We start from the raw sequence: 22,426 nt of genomic DNA, 5'->3' as shown, positions 1-22,426 counted from the left end.
AACTTTAACCCCTTGGGCTCAGGCAATCTTCCCACCTCAGCCTCCCAAGTAGTTAGGACTACAGGCACAAGCTACCATGCCAGGCTAATTTTTGTATTTTTTGTAAAGACAGGGGTGTTACTGTGTTGTCCATGCTGGTCTTAAGCTCCTGGGCTCAAGAAATCCTCCTTTCTCGGCCTTCCAAAGTGTCGGGATTCCAAGTGTGAGCCACCACACCCAGCCTGTCTTTTATATCTCTGAGCATACTGGTGATATTGTCTCTGTTTCCTTCAAGTTCCTTTTTCTCTTTTTTAGCCTCTTGTCTATCATATTAGAAGCTTTCCTCAGATTATCTTTGGTTGTCTGTTTGCATTTAAGAGGGAGACTGCACAAAGCTATTTGGAAGCTGGTTTATAATGTTTTTTGAGAGGTTGCTGAAAGACAAGCACTCCACTAAGCACTTTATATGCATTGTCTTAACTGACCTTTACACTGCTCCTGTGAGGTTCTTATTTCACAGATGAGGGACATCTTGAGGCTTAGATGATACAACCAGAAGAAGGGGAACCAGGATTCAAACCCAGATCTGACTGTCTTCATGTGATTCTTTTATCTATCATATTGTTTTCCTGCCCCCTTCTCAACAAATGCTTTTTGAATATCAGAAAATCCCTTGAGACCCTTAAAGTCAGATAGAAACAAGACAGACAAATGTAGTCATTCAAGACACACAATTGCAGCAATTACAGATGTGTGTTGAGACAAAATTGTGAATATGATTGTTTTGGAGGTTGGGGGAATGGTCAGATTGATATGTTATTTTTTTCTGTTAACCTCAATTCCAGGGAGCAGGTACATAACCTGGGAATACTAATATTTGTGTTAGTGACATGCGAGGCTTGTTCCAACAGGTCTAGAAAAAAAAAAGGAAAGTAAATAAATGCTAAATTAAAGGAATCATTATGGGTGATACTATAATACAAGAAAGAAAGTATGAAGTATTATTTGGGAAGACCAATATTGAACACATATGCAGCAATGATTTATTATAGTGCTGTTTGTCTAAGAAATATCTTTTTTTTTTTTTTTTTTTGAGAAGGCGTCTCACTCTGTCACCCAGGCTGGAGTGCAGTGGCTCGATCTCAGCTCACTGGAACCTCCGCCTCCCGGGTTCAAGTGATTCTCCTGCCTTAGCCTCCTGAGTATCTGTGATTACAGGCGCGTGCCACCATGCCTGGCTAATTTTTTTTGTATTTTTAGTCAAGACGAAGTTTCATCATGTTGGTCAGGCTGGTCTCGAACTCCTGACCTTGTGATCTGCCCACCTCAGCCTCTCAAAGTTCCGGGATTACAGATGTGAACCACCACATCCAGCCAGAAATATCTTTATATTAGAAAAATTAGGCCAGTGACTCACCCTGTAATCCCAACACTTTGGGAAACTGAGGGGGGGAGGATCATTTGAGGCCAAGAGTTTGAGACCAGTGTCTACTGTTCTCATTTTTTTTTTTTTTTTTTTTTGAGACAGGGTCTTACTCTGTCACCCAGGCTGGAGTGCAGTGGCGTGATCTCGGCTCACTGCAACCTCTGCCTCCTGGGTTCAAGTGATTCTCCTGCCTCAGTCTCCTGAGTAGCTGGGATTACAGGTGCACACCACCATGCCCGGCTAATTTTTTTTGTATTTTTAGTAGAGACGGGATTTCACCATGTTGGCCGGGCTGGTCCTGAACTCCTGACCTCAAGTGATCCACCTGCCTCGGCCTCCCAAAGTACTGGGATTACAGGAGTGAGCCACCGTGCCTGGCCTACTGTTCTCATCTTCATATCTGTGTGTACCCAGTTCCTCCCCATTCAGCTGGTCATTGAGAGACCTGTCAAATTTTCTTCCTAAATAATTTTTGGATCTGCCCTTCACCATCCTTGGTGGTGAAATGCCAGGTGGAACCTTTATTTCCTATCTGAATCATAATAGTTTGATTGATTTTTCTGCCTTGCTCTTTGCAGAACCATTCATTATACCTTCGCCTTACCATTTTCATTCCCCTACTAAAATGTTAACCCTGGGTAGACAATTAATAAGCCTTTATAACAGGGACAATCATCCATTCTCACCAATTCCATTTATTCTCATTTTCAATGAATGATATCAAGGGGTCTTCTCATTAACTTCTCAAAAAGTATAAACAGAGTTACCATGGCAGTGAATCGCCATTGCTTTTTTTTTTTAGTACATTTTTTGCTGCAGTCTATTTTGCTGGAACTATTGCTGCTAATTAACAGCTGGTTTTTAATAAATTTGCTTGCAGCTATTTGCTTTGCCCATTTATAGGAGTTAATTGTGGTCTCGCTGCTGCTGAGTGATTCCCTAACACAATATGCCTGTGATTCTTTACAGAATAAACTATGTTGTCCTGTTTCTTGGAAATCACAGGATTAATTAACTGAGAAGATGTTAAATTGAATTTTAAACCAAAGTCAGATGAAGGCTTACTGGCACAAATTTTGACTAATGTCTTTTTAATGTCTTATATATTTAATTTGCTGAAGTCAGAATATACTGTTGGTAATGCATTCAGAGCTAGGTTTGGGGTTTCTTTATTCTTCTCTGCAGTCTTTAGGGTATAGTTCTTATTTCTCATTTTGCCCTTCCTTTCAGCTCCCCAAGACTTGTCTTTTGATATTCACAGACTCTGGATGGGTTTTTACTTACTTTTCTAAAAAATATTATTGTTATTCACAGTGAGTGCGTTTTAGCAGCAGTGTTTCTTTTTCAGTTTTCCAGAGTATCAGGAAATGCCCTGGTGATAGTTTTATCTATTGTAATCAGTCCTTGCTATTTCAGGTTCTCCTGTGTAACACTAGACTCCATGGCCCCTCATTATACTAGATTTGGCAAATATCTGACAACTACGTTGCTCAAGTCAGGCTTTAGGTCACCTTCAAACTCTTGACGACCACTACCACTTAGAGAAAGTAGCATGATGTAATATAAAAGACCTAGGAAATGGTCAAGAGACTTGGTTCTACCACTCACTAGCCTTGTGACCTTAGTCAATTTCACCTTTGAGGCGGGGGCCGGGGGAGACTTGGTTTCTTTATTAAATATGGGGGTTAGACTGGGTACTCCTCCACACCCTTCCCAGTATGAATGCCATTGGTACATTGGAACTGGGCCATTCCTAGTATTAGGAATGCTTGCTTTACTTGGAGGTCTTAGCTTTAGTTGGAGGTCCAGAGGGCAATTCTTGGCCCTCTAACAGTTCAGATCCACTCATGGGAGCTAAAATGGGCTAAAGTGGAGGCACTAGTGTGAACCCAGTCACTATGTGGCTCCATAAAGCCTGCCATCTCTGGAGCTGTGATGAGAGGGTCATCACAATTCCAACAGATCTTAAAGCCGGGAAGTGACATTCTACAGATTTGAACCCAGTTCTAAATTCATATTCTTTTTGTTATATCCCTTGCTTCCTCCACAGAGTAAAGATTACAACACTGGTGCTTTTATCATCTTTAATGGATTGGGGATATGGCTTATAAAGAGTAAAAATTACAGTAGATACATAAAATAAAAGAAATTGGCTGGGTGCCATGGCTCATGCCTGTAATCCCAGCACTTTGGGAGGCCAAGGCCGGTGGATCACTTAAACCCAGGAATTCAAGGCCATCCTGGACAACATAGTGACGCCCCGTCCTACAAAAAATACAAAAATTAGCTGGGCATGGTGGCACGCGCCTATGGTCCCAGCTACTCCAGAGGCTGAGGTGGGAGGATCGCTTGAGCCCAGCAGGTTGAGGCTGCAGTGAGTTGTGTTTGCACCACTGCACTCCAGCCTGGGTGACAGAGCAAGACCCTTTTTCAAAAAAAAAAGGAAAAAGAATCCTCTGACAACAATTATTGCATGAAATCTTTTTTTTTTTTTCAGATATCTTTATACAGTCATAAAAGTATATAAAACCTAGGTACAATATAAAAAATAATTATAGATCAATCTAATGTGGCCACCACCCATGTTAACAAATAGACCATTGCCAGCACCCCAAAAACCCTATGTGCCATTGCAGATCACAGCCCTCTACCTCTCCCCAAGAGGTAACCACCATTCTAACTTTCAGGATAAGTACTTCCTTGTTTTTCTTTGCAATTTTACAGTGTGTGTACCTATCCTCAAACAATATAGTTGTTTTGCCCATTTCTGAACTTTATATAGATCATACAATATGTACTTGTCAGTGCTTTGCTTCTTTTGCTCAGTATTATATTTGTGAGATCTATCCATGTTGTGGCATGTAACTGTAGTTCATTCATTTTCCTTGCTTTGTTTCACTCCATTATAGGAATAGACCACAATTTATTTATCCATTCTGCTACTAATAGATATTTGGGTGATTTCCCATTTGGGGTTATTGAAGGACAGTACTATCCTGAACATTCTTGAACATGTCCTCCCTTGGGACTCATATGTGGGAGCTTCTCTGGTTATATTCCTAGGAGTGTAATTGTTGGTCATAGGGTATGCAGATTTTCAAACAACTGTGACTGCTGAACTTAATTATCACCAGTACTTTTAATCCATATTTTTTTTTTTTTTTTTTTTGAGACAGAGTCTTGTTCTGTCACCCAGGCTGGAGTACAGTGGCGCGATCTCGGCTCACTGCAAGCTCCGCCTCCCAGGTTCACGCCATTCTCCTGCCTCAGCCTCCCGAGTAGCTGGGACTACAGGCGGCCACCACCACGCCCGGCTAATTTTTTGTATTTTTAGTAGAGACGGGGTTTCACCGTGTTAGCCAGGATGGTCTTGATCTCCTGACCTCGTGATCCACCCGTCTCGGCCTCCCAAAGCACTGGGATTACAGGCGTGAGCCACCGCGCCTGGCCTAATCTATACATTTTTGATGAAAATTTAAAGTCTTCTGTTCTCGTCTAAAAAGGTTTGTCTTTCCTATAGAAAAATGCAAGAATGGCAGCAGAAAAGCATTATTCTAATACCCTAAAAGCACTAGGAATATCTGATGAGTTTGTTTCAAAGAAAGGCCAAAGTGGAAAAGTACTTGAGTACTTCAACAATCAAGAGACGAAAAGTGTCACTGAAGACAAAGAAAGGTAACATATATAAGATGTCTGAATGGCTTACCTTTGAAAAAATTATTACCTGCAGAAAAGCACAATTTTATACTATGTATATTTTTTGTTCTATATTGTTTTAAAAAGATCTTTTACCCAATAGTAAAAGACATATGAACTGTTGTAAAACACACTGATATTTTAACATGTTTGACACATTAACGTTCACATGAAGTATTTTATTTTTAAAGCAGAATAACAGATTTCTTAAAGACATAAGTAACAAAAATAATAGCATGCTTTCAAATGAAGTTTAAAGAAACAATCACTCAAATTTTGAAATAAATTAGTTTTCAGGAATATTAAATTTCTCAATGGGCACTTTTATAGCGTTTTCTTCTTTTTTTTGAGTTGTCTTGGTAACAAATTGGAATTCATACACTTGAGGAAGACTGGCTACACGGTGGCATACTTGCAGAGGGTTTGTTTACCTTTAAACCAACTCATTTTTCCTTTGAAAGATTGATAAATTTCTTCCCCTAGCTTTAATGAAGAAGAAAAAATAGAAGAAAGAGAGAATGGGGAAGAAAATTATTTTATTGATACCAACAGCCAGGATTCTTACAAGGAAAAAGATGAAGCCAATGAGGAAAGTGAAGAAGAGAAATCTGTTGAAGAATCACACTGAATCATCAAGGTCTCCTCTCTATGCCCTTGCTGTTGTTTGCAGCGTCAGGGTGTCAGCAGCCGCATTTGTGTTTAGAACATCTGTGGGGACGCTTCTGATATGTGCAGGGCTGTTGATCAAAGTCATCTGTAGCCTGAAAAGCCTGAATCCAGCTGATTGGTCATTTGATCAGTTAGAGTAAGGCTTTGCCTATTCAGTTTTAAAAATCATTGTGTATTATCTGTTTGCAACTATGATTTTGTATTTTTAAAAAGTGAGAACCACAGCTGTCACAAACTGATTAGTTATAAAAATATACATTATTTCATTAATTTTACTGGAAAAAATGGCTTAGTATTGAAAGGAGAGAGAAGTATTGGTCTTTGGTGGTTTACTTTTTAAAAATTTTGGAAAGTGTGAATCAATAACTATTTTTAATTATACTATTTGCCCATTCTTTTTCTCTGCAGTGCATTTCACAGAATAAATCCTCTAACTTGTTTTGCTGCTCTGAGCCATTTTTAAAAGTATAGAAAAAACGCCGGGTATGGTGGCTCATGCCTGTAATCCCAGCATTTTGGGAGGCCGAGACGGGTGGATCACGAGGTCAGGAGATCGAGACCATCCTGGCTAACACGATGAAACCCCGTCTCTACTAAAAATACAAAAAATTAGCCAGGCGTGGTGGTGGGCGCCTGTAGTCCCAGCTACTTGGGAGGCAGAGGCAGGAGAATGGCATGAACCCAGGAGGCAGAGCTTGCAGTGAGCCGAGATCGCGCCACTGCACTCCAGCTTGGGCAACAGAGCGAGACTCCGTCTCCAAAAAAAAAAAAAAAGTATAGAAAAAAATGGATACTTGCAAATTTACATTTATTTTTGCACTGAGAGTTTACTGTTAAATTGTCTACACCATCATCCCTTTTTCTTTTTATCCTTAGTTCTAGTCCAAATTATTTTTGATTTGTAAATTATTAGGAAAGTTTTTATACTAGTTTTTTTAACCCTATGTATTATTACAGATGGAAGTAATTATGGCATGTGTGAGTTATAATCTAAATTAGGGGCAAGTATCCCTTTTTTTATATGATGAAATTGTGCATAATAACTTGGCTAGGGCAAGTCTCCAAAGTAATTCAGATTTAACTCTTCACTGCTAGACCCAGTTGTGTTCAACTTTTTACATATTATTGCCAACACACTTTATCTCTCTGTGTACAGTGTTAATCTGATTTTATAAATCTATATTTTTTTCTTTAAGCAAATTTTTGTTTTAAAATTTGAAGCCAATCATAAAGATAATATAGCATAAGACATTTTCTTTTCTAAAAACAATCAGCATCATTTTAAAAGGATGAACTAATACAGGTGTATGTAATAGCAGTGTTTCCAAACTGGCAATTTATGCTTTAAATTTAAAAATAAGGTCATTTTTCTCCATCAGGGGCAAATGTTTACTTGTAATTTTCTTCCTACAGTTCGTGTTAAATTACTTTTTACTATTATTATATTGTAAACTCCTTGGGATTTGGCACCATTTAAAAATTCATCTTTGTATTCCCTTAATATTTGGAACAGTATTGTACATATGGTAGGTACTTAATAAAGGTTTGAATGAGTGTGTAGATGAATATGGTTTTTATATACTTACAGCTACTTCAGAATGAGTACACATGGGATTAAAAACATTTCCCTCCTAGCTCATTGGGAGCCTGTGAAACACAATCTACAAATTGTAATAGTACTTAAAACATTACTTGCTTTCAAGGATTCACTCCACAGCCTGTCCCTTCTCAATTTCATGAGGAGAGTGTGGGCTTTGGTCATGAAACACTTGGCTTCAGGACCAATCTTGTTTTCTTACCTTTAAAAAAAAAATGGGAATATTACCTATCTTGAGTGGCTGTAGGAAGGACTGGATGAAATCATATATGGAAAGGTCTTTGCAAACTGTGATATTCAAATGATGGTGTCAGAAGACAGAATATTCCTGAGGAAACTGTTAACTTAAAATACTTGTACTTAAATGAGATACACTGTGATTTAAATATTATTTGGTTAGAAATAACTTTTGAAGCACTTTGTTAGACATGATCTGGTTAACACAGAACCAAAGTTAAAAAAAGAGGGAGAGAGACACTGACAGTTTCAAATCATTCTGTGCATATCACTGTTCACTTTGGGAGGCCGAGATGGGTGGATTATGAGGTCAGGAGATCGAGACCATCCTGGCTAACACGGTGAAACCCCGTCTCTACTAAAAATACAAAAAAAAAAAAAAAAAATTAGCCAGGCGTGGTGGTGGGTGCCTGTAGTCCCAGCTACTCGGGAGGCTGAGGCAGGAGAATGGCCTGAACCTGGGAGGCAGAGCTTGCAGTGAGCCGAGATGGCACCACTGCACTCTAGCCTGGGTGACAGAGTGAGACTCCATCTCAAAAAAAAAAAAGAAAAAAAAGACATCAAATTGACAGCTGAAAGATTACTTTAGCAGGTCACATTACACAGTGATGGTTAGAAGTCAACTGGTTAAATCAAACATGTTTTCAGGTGTTAGGTAACTGAAAATTTTTTACATTTGTATCATCTGAATTGGCTCCAGAATTCTTTTTACTTATGGGATTTTCCTTTATACAAGAGTAACCTAACATCAAGAAAAAGGTTATGCTCTTTTTTTCTTTCATAATATTACTGGGTACCCTATTACTTCATACTTATTTCCGCAGAGAAAATGGCCTGGGGACTTATTGGAGGATTAAGTTATTTTACACATACACAAACACACACGTATATATGTATCTATAAATATGATGGAAGTCTGGATGTGGTGGCTCATGCCTGTAATCTCAGCACTTTCGGAGGCAGAGGAAGGCGGCTCACTTGAGGTCAGGAGTTCAAGATCAGCCTGGGCAACATGGTGAAACCCTGTCTCTACAAAAAATACAAAAGTTAGCCAGGCGGGGTGTCATGCACCAAGTAGTCCCAGATACTCGGGAAGCTAAGGTGGGAGGATTGGTTCAGCCCAGGTGGTTGAGGCTGCAGTGAGCCCTGATCACACCACTCCAACCTAGGTAACAAAGTGAGACCCTGACTCAATATATATATATATATATATATATGATGGAAAATTTAGCATTTTTTTTTTTTTTGAGATGGAATCTCACTCTGTCGCCCAGTCTGGAGTGCAGTGGTGCGATCTTGGCTCACTGCAACCCCTGCCACCCAGGTTCAAGTGATTCTCCTGCCTCCACCTCCCGAGTAGCTGGGATTACAGGTGCCTGCCACCACGCCTGGCTAATTTTTATAGTTTTAGTAGAGATGGGATTTCACCATCTTGGCCAGGCTGGTCTTGAACTCCTGACCTCGTCATCCATCTGCCTCGGCCTCCCAAAGTGCTGGGATTACAGGCATGAGCCACCGCAATTATTCTTTTACTCTGTTGAGTTAGTCTACATAATAAAACAAATAAGCATGCCTTTAAGGATATCTGGTATTTTTCTCTTAGACAGTATTTCTCAAGTTAATTCTAGTCACTTGAGAATAGCAAAGATTTCAACATTTGGACCTAGGCAATACAAAATCATTAACTTCAGGCCGGGTGCAGCGGCTCATGCCTGTAATCCCAGCACTTTGGGAGGCTGAGGCAGGCGGATCACCTGAGGTCAGGAGTTTGAGACCAGCCTGGCCAACATGGTGAAACCCCGTCTCTACTTAAAATACAAAAAGAATTAGCCAAGTGTGGTAGCATATGCCTATAATCCCAGCCATTTGGGAGGCTGAGGCAGGAGAATTGCTTGAACCTGGGAGGTGGAGGTTGCAGTGAGCCGAGATTGTGCCACTGCACTCTAGCCTAGGCAATAAGAGTGAAAACCCCGTTTCAAAAAAAATAAAAAATAACTTTATAAAAATTACCTCATTGCTTCAAAGAAAAATGTATGCCCTTCTCAACTATCACATATGTGTATATGTGTGTTTTAGTGGTTGTTTAGAAGGGAGCAAGTTATTGTGAAATGAAGTTTTTGTCAATTTGACAATATTTAGACTATAATATTATGGTGTCAAAGTAATTACTTTGTCCTAAATTCTTTAGGTAGTCTCATTTCTTGTCACTTATATGTAGTCCTGATGTGGCTGTGGTTTACTAACTTACCTGTATTGTTAGAAAAGTTATAGGAATAACTTTTTAAAATTTTTAATTTAAATTTAAATTTAATTTAGAGACAGCGTCTCGCTATGTTGCCCAGGCTGGTCTCAAACTCCTGGACTCAAGTGATCCTCCTGCCTTGGCTTCTCAAAGTGTTAGGATTACAGGTGTGAGCCACTGTGCCTGGCCAGGAATAACCTTTATAGTATAGCAACTTTGTTTGTTTTTAAGGGAGGAAGTAATAATCAGGGTCACAGATTCCAACATTCTGCCAGGCACAGTGGCTCACACTTGTAATCCCAGCACTTTGGGAGGCTGAGGCAGGCAGATTACTTGAGGTCAGGAGTTTGAGACCAGCCTGACCAACATGGTAAAACCCTGTCTCTACAAAAATACAAAAATTAGCCGGGTATGGTGGTGGGCATCTGTAATCCCAGCTACCCAGGAGGCTGAGGCAGGAGAATCGCTTGAACCTGAGAGGCAGAGATTTCAGTGAGCTGAGATCATGCCACTGCACTCCAGCCCGGGCAACAGAGCAAGACTCTGTCTAAAAAAATAATAATAATAAATAAAATAAAATAAAATCCAATATTCTGACCAGATTTCTGACAGATGCAGTGGCCTACACCTGTAATCTCAGCACTTTGGAAGGCTGAGGTGGGAAAATCACTTGAGTCCAGGAGTTCAAGACCAGCCTGGGCAACAGCGTGAGATCCTGTCTCAAAACAAAAAGAAAAAAAGATATTCAGATTCTATTTTACAACTAATATAGACTGAATAAATGAAAAATAAAACTATGGCTTGTAAAATTTTCTAGTTAAGAAATCAGATATACTAATATTTAGATATCTACTTACTCTAATTATTTTTTCATTTTTGTAACAACTAAGACTGTGGTCTTTGGCAAATTATAAATGTCAATAAGAGAAGGAGATAAAAAATTGAGAAGGAAAAAAATTGGTATATAACTATTAAAAGTCAAGGCATAGCTGGGCGCAGTGGCTCACGCCTGTAATCCCAGCACTTTGGGAGGCCGAGGCAGGCAGATCACAAGGTCAGGAGTTTGAGACCAGCCTGGCCAATATGGTGAAACCCCATCTCTACTAAAAGTACAAAAATCAGCCAGGCATGGTGGCAGGCGCCTGTAGTCCCAGCTACTCTGTAGGCTGAGGCAGGAGAATCGCTTGAACCCGGGAGGCCGAGGTTGCAGTGAGCTGAGATTGTGCCACTGCACTGCAGCCTGGGCAACAGAGCAAGACTTTGTCTAAGAAAAAAAAAAAAAGAAAAAAAAAGTCAAGGCATAAAATGTATGCTTATATCTAACTCTGAAAAGATATACCAGAAAATATAAATGTTAATAGAGTCTGCCTCTAAGAGCCTGGGAGTAGGTGATGGAAGAGAGACTTCATTCTTTTTGTTTCTTCCTTTTCAACACTTACATATGTTAAAGAAAAATATAAATGAGGCTTTAGCTTTGTAGGAAGGTATTTTGTAGTTATATTTTCTAGATGTGCCCATCACCTAATGTCAAGAATTATCAACTCACAATTAAGTTTATTTCTTCTATATTCCCACTCTCTAGCCCCTAGTTGTTTCGAAGCAAATCACAGACATATTTCATGTATAAATATTTCAGTATAGATCTTTAAATGATAAAAACTTTCCCTTGTTACACAGCTCTAATACCATCATCACACATACAAAAAGAATAATACAAAAAAGAATAACCCCTTAATACCAGTTACCTAGCAGTGTTCACATTTATCCTACTGTCTCTTAGGTGATGTTCTTCAGTGTCTTCTTTAATGCCAGCAACAAATACCTTTTTCACAGTTAGGTGGGCACCTGGTCTTTGAGAACCTTCTCTTGAGACAGCCCTCTTTGGTTCCACAGCTCTCCCATCCACCTTGTGTGGCCTTGCATTCATGGCTGCATCCACCTCCTCCACAGTGGCATAGGTGACAAACCCAAAGCCCCTGGAGCACTTGGTGTTGGGATCTCTCATGACCACACAGCCTGTGAGCATTCCCCATTGCTCAGAATGGCTCCTCAGCCTCTCATCAGTCGTTTCAAAGCTCGATCCTCCAGTGAAGAGCTGCCACAGCTGCTTGGCTGTTTAGGAGACTGACTTAGACATGACAGCAGTGGGAAGAGAGATTTTAATGATGCTTCCTGGTGGCGGCCACGGACAGAAGGTGGGTGTCTATTAAATGCAGCAGAACACAATTCCTAATTTAAGAGGTATACCCAACACATCATTAAATATACTGTATAAAGTAGCATTTCTGAATTTCCACCAGCTACATGTGTCTGTGATGTACAGTGAGGTCCATCATTTACTTCTCTTAGAAGAATGCTTTTTCCAAGACAAAAAATATCCTCTATGAGGAAAAAATGCAAAATAAGACATTAACATTGTATAATAGAAAAAAATCATAAATGAGCCTTTCTCAAGCAAATAACAATATTCATTCATCTTGAATGCTAATAAAAAGAAGATGGTATACTTCATTATGAAAATAAGTTATCTTGTTGCACTATAATAATGCTCAGATGGATGAAAAAACCCACAGCATCCTTTTGCTAACCCTAAAAGTTATGTTCCTAAAAACCATGCCAAGAGTGTGTGGTTGAGGAACTGCAACACTTCATGGGAAACAAAAACAAGAATCAAAATAGGACAGGAGGAAGCCTGACAAAGTCAGTGCAGTTAAAAAAAATGTTCACTAATATAGAACAGTCCACTGAAGATAATGTCAATGACATTAATGTACAATTAATTGTTTTTTGTTATTCCTTGCTCATCACCACATTTTCAGGACTTTTCTTTCTACCAGACTTGAATGAGATTTTGTTGTATTGGCTTTTTTGTTTTGAGACAGAGTCTCACTCTGTCACCCAGGCTGGAGTGTAGCAGCGGGATCATGGCTCACTGTAACCTCTGCCTCCTGGGCTCAGTGATCCTCCTTCCTCAGCCTCCTGAGTAGCTGGGACTACAGGCATGCGCCACCACCATGCCCGGCTAATTTTTGTACTTTTTGCAGAGACAGGTTTTGCCATGTTGCCCAGGCTGGTCTTGAACTCCAGGAATCAAGTGATCCACCCATTTGATCAGCTCCCCAAATTGGTGGGTGCATTTAGTTTTGATAGCTCTTTAGTCTCTTTTTGTCTAGACAGCTCTCTGCCTTTTTTGTCTTTCATTTCATTGTTACTTTGTAAGAGTCCAGGCCAGTCATCTGTAGCCTGGCATGTAATTTAGATTTCTCTAATTGTTTGCTTAATTGGATTCTGGTTAAACATTGTGGGCATGAATACTACCTAACTAATTTGTGTACTTTGTATGACATTAAGTGGGGAGGCACAGAATGTCACTTTGTTGCATTATTATTGACACTAAATTTGATCACTTGGTTAAAGGGCTATCCATCAGTTCTCTCCATTGTAAAGGCACTGTATCCCTTGATGCTTAAGTAACCGGGTAGTGTCAGGGGGATACTTGACACGGTGTGAACATCCTGTTCCCCAACACATTTTACCTAACAGTTTTAGTATTCCTTGATGGTCTTCACCTGAATAAGTTATTATGCTGGGGGTTGCAAAATGGTCATTTTCTAATTCTATTATGTGTTCTATATTAGCTGATAGTCTCTGTAAAGAAGAGCTTCCCAGTCTCTTTTATGTGAGGTATCATCATGATGCACAAATTCTTCATTTATTCAATGTGTTATAATGTGTTACCATCATTAAAATTTTTAAATTATGCTCAAATTGTCCTAAATTTGGCCAGTGGGAGCCCCTACAAGCTGGTTTGTGTGTTTTATTTACATCTTTCCCTCAGTCTTTGTGCACTTTCTTACTTTCTGGAACAAGAAGAAATCCAAGGATCATCTTGTACTTTCTCTGACCCAGCCCTGGCATTGGCCATTTATTTGACAGACCCTGAAGCCTTTTAATGGAAAATGGTCTTCAGAAATTAGGATCCAGCCAGGGACGGTGGCTCACACCTGTAATCCCAACACTTTGGGAGACCGAGGCGGGTGGATCACTTGAGGCCAGGAGTTTGAGACCAGCCTGGCCAACAAGGTGAGATCCCATCTCTACTGAAAATACAAAAATTAGCCGGGCGTGGTGGTGGGCACCTGTAATCCCAGCTACTCAGGAGGCTGAGGCAGGAGAATTGCTTGAACCCAGGAGGCAGAGGCAATGAGCCAAGATTGCACCACTGCACTCCAGCCTGGGCAACAGAGACTCCAACTCAAAAAAAAAAAAAAAAGGATCTGAATGTTAGGTATACTCATTGTTACTAGGTGTCATTGTTTCTAGGTCTGGGAAACATATATGCTTCTTGTTTTGGTTTGGTTTTGGTTTTGTTGTTTGTTCCAGACAGGGTCTTGCTTTGTCACCCAGGCTGGAGTGCAGTGTAGAATCACTGCAGTCTCAACCTCCTAGGTTCAAGCGATCCTCCCACCTCAGCCTTCTGAGTAGCTGGGACCACTCCTGCAAGCCACCGCACCTGCTAATTTTTAATTTTTTTGTAGAGACAGGGTCTCACTATGTTGCCCAGGCTGGTCTTGGTCTCCTGAACTCAAACCATCCTCCTGCCTTGGCCTCCCAAAGTGTTGGGATTACAGGCATGAGCCACCGCACCTGGCCTATGTTTCTTTGTTTTTGAAAATGTTGGTTTAACACTTTGTGATGAAGCAACTTGAAGGATTTGTCCTAAGCTGAGTGTATCTCAATGCTGGGCTTGAATGTCTGTCATGCGAAAAAGAGACTCCACCAGGCTCTGTGCTCAGGATCCAGTATTCACATATGGTGAGGTTTGTTTTTCATTACAGTGAATGTAAATCCTTATTTCAATAATCTTCTTGATAATTTTGAATTTGTTGGCTTAGTCCAAAGTAAGAATTGGTTAGATCACCATTGTTTTTCCTCCTAATATGGCTGATTAAGAGCTTGTACCAGGTACAGAGAAGCATTCTTGCATTTTCTTGTTTCCTTGTGCTGTGTTAATAGTATTATCTTCAGTCTGAGGTTTCTCTGCAGGATTTTCTTTTAAAGCCGCTTGTCTGTTTTGTGAGGACTGGTTTTGGAAAGCTGCTAATATGATCTGTGAAGCGACTCACAGGGCACACACAACCTGAGGGGCATGGCCAAATTCCATGCGAAGAAAGCGAAGGGCCCTGTCCCCGCGTGGCACTTGACCGTCTGCCATCTGACCGAGAATGGATCATGTGAGCAGCCAGTGACAAACCACATATTAAATCTTGGTAAAGCTTTATTTCTTTTTTAGATAAAGTTAGTATAAATGTTCTACCTATTTCAGTTTCGAATTGCAGTTTCTTTCTGCAGCAAATGGAGCATATTTCTCCCCTCCCACTCCGGGTGTGTGACTCCACTTGGAAAATGCCTGCTTGGGGCCCCTGCAACTGACTCCCAGCTGCTTTCCCTGCTTCCTCTCTGGCCGATGCAGCCAGTGTGGCTAGAGTGAAGAGTGACTGCAGGAATGTGATTGCCGAGGCAAGTAGGGCAGAGAATGAAGGGTCATTTGCTCCAAGTTAAAGTACACACAGGCCAGGGCCGTGGCTCACACCTGTAATCCTAGCACTTTGGGAGGCCGAAGTGGGAAGATCATGTCCAGGAGTTCGAGACCAGCCTGGGCAACATAGCAAGACCCCCCCGCCCCGCCGTCTCTACAAAAAATACAAAAATTAGCCACATCTAGTGGTGTGTGTCTGTGGTCCCAGCTACTCAGGAGACTGAGGCGGAGGATTGCTTGAGTCCAGGAGGTCAAGGCTGCAGTGGGCAGAGATTGCACCACCACACTCCAGCCTGGGCGACAGAGCAAGACCCTGTCTCAATTAAACAAACAAACAAACAAAAAACCCTCAGTTTACAGTAGGGCAGGGTAGAGAGAGAATAAATCCTAACTCCCCAAACCACCATTTCCCCCAGTGTCAAGATGATACTTGTAGATTTGGGCAAGGGTTGAAGGGATGCTTTTGTTGTCAGTCAAGGTCAGAGAGCTAATGTGACCCAGGCAGTGGGAGGGTGAATGTAAGGTAATAAATAAAGTGAAAAAAGTGTGTTCACAGGAGTAAGACTTCTATGCATAGCTCAGATGTGGAGTTTCAGAACAAATGCATCCTCAGTATGGAGGTGTGTTTGAGTTTATGCTATGGGAGAAAGCCAACGTCAATGGAGGTCTCACTGCCACCCAAAGATCCAAGCTTACCTCCTCTCAGGGAGTGGGGATTGTGGGGAAAGCAAGCAAGACTTGAGCTTAGGAAGCCTCTCTGCAGAGCCAGCAGTAACTGGTTTAGGGCTCAAGAAAAGACATTGATTTTCCATAGAAGCCTAAGGATGAAAAATTTGCAAGACACAGAAAAAAGGGATAGGCTTTCAATTATTTTTGTTGGGAGGATTGGTTTGCTTTGGGTAAAAGGAGGTAGACAGTGGACAAGGAGGGACAAAACATAGGGAGAGAGGCCAGGTGTGGTGGCTCACGCCTGTAATCCCAGCACTTTGGGAGGCTGAGGTGCGGGGATCACTTGAGGTCAGGAATTCAAGACCAGCCTGGCCAACCTGGTGAAACCCAGTCTCTACTAAAAATACAAAAACTATCTGGGCATGGTAGCACATGCCTGTAATCCCAGTTATTTGGGAAGCTGAGGCAGGAGAATCGCTTTAACCTGGGAGGCGAAGGTTGCAGTGAGCTGAGACCGCGCCACTGCACTCCAGCCTGGGTGACAGAACGAGACTCCATCTCAAAAAAAAAAAAAAAAAAAAAAAAAAAAAAAAAGACACATCTTTCAGGGTGGACACAGAGGATTTTTCTAGTAAACAGCAGACACTTTGCTCAGGTTGGAGAGGCTTCTGACCCTTTGTACGCACTTTCCTGGGGCAACACAGTTGGCCATCAGGACATTAGTCACGAGTTGTCCCCTCCCTTGAGGCGGATTCAACGAACAGGTTCTTTCCTGCTCTCCAAGCACGCCATCATACAGCATACTGGCATGGCATTTGGACAAAGGTTTTCTACCTAACTTTGTAATTATATGGAATATCTCTGAGAAAGATCCTCCCAGATAATGGTGTGACTTACTAGAGAACAGTAATTTATAACTGTAATTTGTTAATCCCATGAGTATCCCTAGAGGAGGAAAAATCTTGATTGTATGGAAGCTGTGTGGACTTAAGGTCTATATAAAAGAATTGACCCAAGGTTGCTCCTAGTCATCTGATGGGAACAACTCCTTCTTTGTGGACCCCTAGGCATCAAGGAATAGCTGCACACCCACAGATAGTGACTGATTTGGATAAACGGAGCTGATCACTCACTCTTCAGAGTGATAGAGACTGTCAGCTGAAAAATCACGAGAAATTCCGGCATCTCTAACCTCACTCTGAGAGTGGCAGCCCTGGAAAGGATAACTGTATTTCTTAAGAAGGGGATTTAGCCTCTGGCTGAAAAACTAAAAGCAAACTCTTTGAAGGAGAAGAGGTTGGCAAGGGATTTATACAGAAGTTGGCCAAGTATACGCACTCAACAGGTTGTAGGAGGAGCTGTGAATATTCATGAAGGGGGTCCTGATCATGCATATTGAACAAACATGCATTTATTTCTTCCTGTCTTGCCCTGCTGCCCAGGCTGGAGTGCAGTGGTGCAATCATGGCTCACTGCAGCCTCAACCTCCTAGGCTCAAGCGATCCTCTCACCTCAACCTCCCAAGTAGCTGGGATTACAGCTGCACATCATCAAGTCTGGCTAATTTTTGTATTTTTTGTAGAGACGGAGTTTTGTCACGTTGCCCTAGCTTGTCTGAAACTCCTCTCGAGCAGAGGAAAGGAAGAGAAGCAGAGATACAGATTACAATTGTGCTAACAGTTGTCTGAGCATAACTGTATTAACAGTATTTCCACTACTGCATTTCAACTCATGTTACAGCAAGCATTTCAGTGATATGACAATATCTTTGATCAAGGCATTCTGTAGTTCAGGAGTGAGCAGAAAGCAGTTAAAAGATCTAACAAAACTAATAAGAAGCAAAAAAGTTCAAAGAGCAAACTGTCAGGAACCTAGGAACTCAGAGAAAATGGGGATAAGTTCTGGATGAACAGAATTTACATACAGAATTCCAATCCATTTCTGAGGCAATAATTTTCTCACTGGTAGGTGACACTCCAGCCACCCACAAACCTCATGCTCCTTGTCTCAGTGGAGCTCCCCTTTGCCCCCTGACTGAGTCTGAGGGGCTTCTGCATGTTCCCTCCCATTGCTGCCTCCAGGATGCATCTTTCTGGCATCTCTAACCTCACTCTGAGAGTGGCAGCCCTGACTGCCTGGCACCTCATACACACTGCTAGCTCAGAACTCCTCAGGGTTCGGTCATAATTGTTGTGATGTTGTATCCCTGAAGGCCAGATTTTATCTTTCAACTTTCTATCCCCAGGCCTGGCCCAGAGCCTAGTATATAGGATGGGCTTAATCCATGTTTTTGAGTGAACGACCAATACATAAATCCATAATAATCAAGCACACTGTTTCAGCAAACAGCTCAACAATATAGCTATCAGAGCGACTTTTTTCTTTTCTTTTTTCTTTTTTTTTTTTTTTTTGAGACAGGGTCTTGCTCTGTCACGCAGGTTGGAATGCAGTGGCACAATTGCAGCTGACTGCAGCCTCACCCTCCTGGTCTCAAGTGATCCTTCCACCTCAGCCTCCCAAATAGCTGAGACCACAGGTGCATGCCACCACATCTGGCTCTTTTTTTTTTTTTTTTTTTTTTTGAGGTGGAGTCTTGCTGTGTCACCCAGGCTGGATTGCAGTGTCATGATCTCAGCTCACTGCAACCTCTGCCTCCTGGATTCAAGCAATTATTCTGCCTCAGCATCCCAAGTAGCTGGTACTACAGACGTGCATCACCATGCCTGGCTAATTAGTGTATTTTTTTTTTTTAGTAGAGACGAGGTGTCACCATATTGGCCAGGCTGGTCTTGAACTCCTGACCTTGTGATCTGCCCACCTCAGCCCAGCCACAGCTGGCTAATTTTTAAAATTACTAGTAGAGATAAGGTCTCTCTATGTTGCCCAGGCTGGTCTTGAACTCCTGGGCTCAAGTGATCTTCAGCCTCCCAAAATGCTGGGATTACAGGCGTGAGCCATGGCCTAGAATAACTTTTTTCTGGTATTGTTACTTTAATCTTCATAAGAACATAACACAAGACTATTCACTACCAAATTTACACTTAAGCATTCATTTTTTTTTTCTTTTGAGACGGAGTCTTGCTCTGTTGCCCAGGCTGGAGTGCAGTGGCATGATCTCGGCTCACTGCAAGCTCTGCCTCCTGGGTTCACGCCATTCTCCTGCCTCAGCCTCCTGAGTAGCTGGTGGCGCCTGCCACCACGCCCAGCTAATTTTTTGTATTTTTAGTAGAGATGGGGTTTCACCGTATTAGCCAGCATGGTCTTGATCTCCTGACCTCGTGATCCACCTGCCTCAGCCTCCCAAAGTGCTGGGATTACAGGTGTGAGCCACCGCGCCCGGCCAGTATTCTTCTTTAAAGTATGGAATGTTTGTTGTTGTTGTTTTGTTTTTGTTTTTGTTTTGTTTTGAGACAAAGCCTCGCTCTTTTTGCCCAGGGTAGAGTGTAATGGCACAATCTTGGCTCACTGCAACCTCTGCCTCCCAGGTTCAAGTGATTCTCCTGACTCAGCCTCCCAAGTAGCTGAGATTGCAGGCACCCACCACCATGCCCGGCTAATTTTTGTATTTTTAGTGTAGACGGGATTTCACCATATTGGCCAGGCTGGTCTCGAACTCCTGACCTCAGGTGATCCACCCGCCTTGGCCTCCCAAAGTGCTGGGATTACAGGCGTGAGCCACCACGCCTGGACTAAAGTATGGAATGTTTTATTGGAGGCTTTTAATTATTTCATTTTAACCAGAGCACTAACTTATAAATAATCCATATAAAATCATCAGACTGTCCCACAATACATACTAATTCATTAAATTAACAAAAAATCTAGGTACTGAGAATACATCAGCAAACAAAAAAGAGAGCCCCTATTCTCATAAAACTTACATTCCAGTTGGGGGAGGATTGGAGATAAGCAGTATAAAAGTAATGTCAGTTGTTTAATAAAGAAAAATAAAGCAAGGTAAAGGGGTGAAGAGTGACTGGGGGAGAGTTTGCCTAGTTAGAGTCAAGAAGGCCTCTCTAATAAGCGGACATTTGAGTCAAGGCCAGAAGGAAGTTAGGGCTGTATTCTGTGGATGACTGGGGGAGGCATCTTAGATAGAGGAACAGAACGTACCCTGGGCCTGGGGTTTTGAATTACAGGGAAACCAGTGAGGCCAGAGCAGTGAGACGTGGAGAGAGTTGCAAAATGTGAAGTCAGAAAAATAGCAGATTCTATGGGGCCTTCTAGGACACAGTAAAGATTTTGCATTTTATTCTGGGTGAGATAGGGAGCTTTGGGAGGGTTGAAAACTGAGCAGGGACTTGGGTTTTAAATGGTCACTCTGGGCCAGGCACAGTGGCTCACGCCTGTAATCCCAGCACTTTGGGAGGTTGAGGCAGGAGGATTGCTTGAGCCCAAGAGTTCAAGACTAGCCTGGGCAACATAGTGAGACCACATTTCTACAAAAAATAAATTTAGGCCAGGCGCAGTGGTTCATGCCTGTAATCCCAGCACTTTGGGAGGCCGAGGTAGGCAGATCACTTGAGGTCAGGAGTTCGAGACCAACCTGGCCAAAATGGAGAAACTAGTCTCTACTAAAAATACGAAAATTAGCAGGGCGTGGTGGATCACGCCTGTAATCGCAGCTACCTGGGAGGCTGAGACAGGAGAATCACTTGAATGTGGGAGACAGAGGTTGCAGTGAGCTGAGATTGCACCACTGTGCTCCAGCCTGGGCAACAGAGTGAGACTCCATCTAAATAAATAAATAAATAAAATAAAAAAATTAGCCAGGTGCGGCGGCGCATACCTGTAGTCCCAGCTACTTGGGAAGCTGAGGTGGGAGGATTGCTTGAGCCTAGGAAGTTGAGGCTACAGTGAACCATGATCTCATCATTGCACTCCTGTCTGGGTGACAGGGTAAGACTCTGTCTCATAAAAAAATAATAAATAGATGGTTGCAATAATCCAATAATCCAAGTGAGAGTTGCTGGTGGCTTGGACCAGAGTTGTAGTGGAGGAGGTAGAAATATTGGATTCAGGATATGTTTCAAAGGTAACACTAAAAGGATTTGAATGTGGAGTGTAGAAGAAATTAATGCATCCAAGGATGAAGTTTCTGTGGGGAGCAATTGGAGGATGGTATTGCCACTTACTGAATTGGGGAAGAAATGGGTTTGGGAAGTTAGCAGATGCTGTGATGTCCTGTCCTGCATCCTCCTGGCCTACCTCTGAGTTTACTTGCAGCCAGGGTGGATAGTTCCCATAAATACTGATGGCTTCCACCTCAAGTTCACCCTCATTCCTCTACTTCCCTGCCTGCAAGATCTCTCCATTGCCAGGGACCTTGTTCAGCTTGGCTGCACAGCAGATCAGAAGTGCTGGGGACCAGGGCAGGTGTGGTGGCTCATGCCTGTAATCCCAGCACTTTGGGAGGCTGAGGCAGGTGGATCACCTGAGGTCGGGAGTTCGAGACAAGCCTGACCAACATGGAGAAACCCCCTCTTTACTAAAAATACAAAAAATTAGCCGGGTGTGGTGATGCATGCCTGTAATCCCAGCTACTCAGGAGGCTGAGGCAGGAGAATTGCTTGAACCCAGAAGGCAGAGGTTGCTGTGAGCTGAGATCACACCATTGCACTCCAGCCTGGATAACAAGAGTGAGACTCCATCTCAAAAAAAAAAAAAAAAAAAAAAGGAAGTGCTGGGGACCTAAATCCCCCAGGGAACCATTGGCCAGTGAGGTGTAGGGTAAGGAATTATTGGGTGAGTAACCTGGTTTCTCTTTCCGTGGAGAGACTGTTCTGAGATGGCTTCTACAGGACTCTTCAGAGGGTATCCAGCAGGATTTAGCTTTAACTGCCCACAGTAATAACCTGCTCCTTAGAGCACCCCTTATTAACTCTCCTCCTTTCTCTGTCTTACTTCTATTATTTCCTCACTTGTGCTTCCTGGGATAACCTCCTGTATAATTTAGTTTCAGCTGCATAATAAGCCACCCCCAAAACATAGTGGTTTACAATGGCCATTATTTTTGCTCATGATTCTGTGGGTCAACAATTTGGGCTGGACTCAACTGGGTGACAAATTTTCTGCTGGTCTTGCCTGGGCTTACTCAGTGGCTACAATAATATGGTGGCTTGACTGGGGCTGGAAGGTTTAAGATGCCCTCCAATGGTAGATGGTAGACACTAGCTGTCAGCTGGCTGATTTAAAAGGCCTCAGATGGGTTGGCTCATGTAGTCCCAATACCCTTTCCTCCTCCACCAGGCTAGACTGGGATTCTTCACATGGCAGTCTTGGGCAGTGTTCCAAAGGGACAAAAGTGGAAGCTGCGAAGCTTCATGAGGTCCACAGTGCTGCTCCTACTGCATTCTTTTCATTAAAGCAGGG

At 42.1% G+C, this 22,426-nt stretch overlaps 1 protein-coding gene across 6 annotated transcripts in view; it reads left to right on the top strand.

Moving 5' to 3' along the window:
• FAM161A (FAM161 centrosomal protein A) overlaps positions 1 to 22,426 on the top strand; it is a 53,821-nt gene that overhangs the window by 21,877 nt on the left and 9,518 nt on the right. For 3 of the 6 annotated variants that reach the window (NR_037710.2, NM_032180.3, NM_001201543.2), the window contains 2 exons: positions 4,926 to 5,080; positions 5,585 to 7,336. Coding sequence is in view for 3 of the 6 variants with exons in the window: in NM_032180.3 (NP_115556.2) it covers positions 4,926 to 5,080; positions 5,585 to 5,729 (300 nt within the window). In the remaining 3 variants the exon portion in view is untranslated. Of the gene's footprint in view, positions 1 to 4,925; positions 5,081 to 5,584; positions 7,337 to 11,739; positions 12,042 to 14,892; positions 15,117 to 15,198; positions 15,307 to 22,426 lie in introns of those variants that run through there. The other 3 variants (XR_001738972.3, XR_007082540.1, XM_047445962.1) reach the window with 3 other exon arrangements.

The sequence above is a fragment of the Homo sapiens genome, chromosome 2, assembly GCF_000001405.40.
Source record: "Homo sapiens chromosome 2, GRCh38.p14 Primary Assembly".
NCBI lineage: Eukaryota > Metazoa > Chordata > Mammalia > Primates > Hominidae > Homo > Homo sapiens.
Note: the sequence above shows the minus strand (reverse complement) of the source record. Positions and strands in the feature narration are given on the sequence as shown.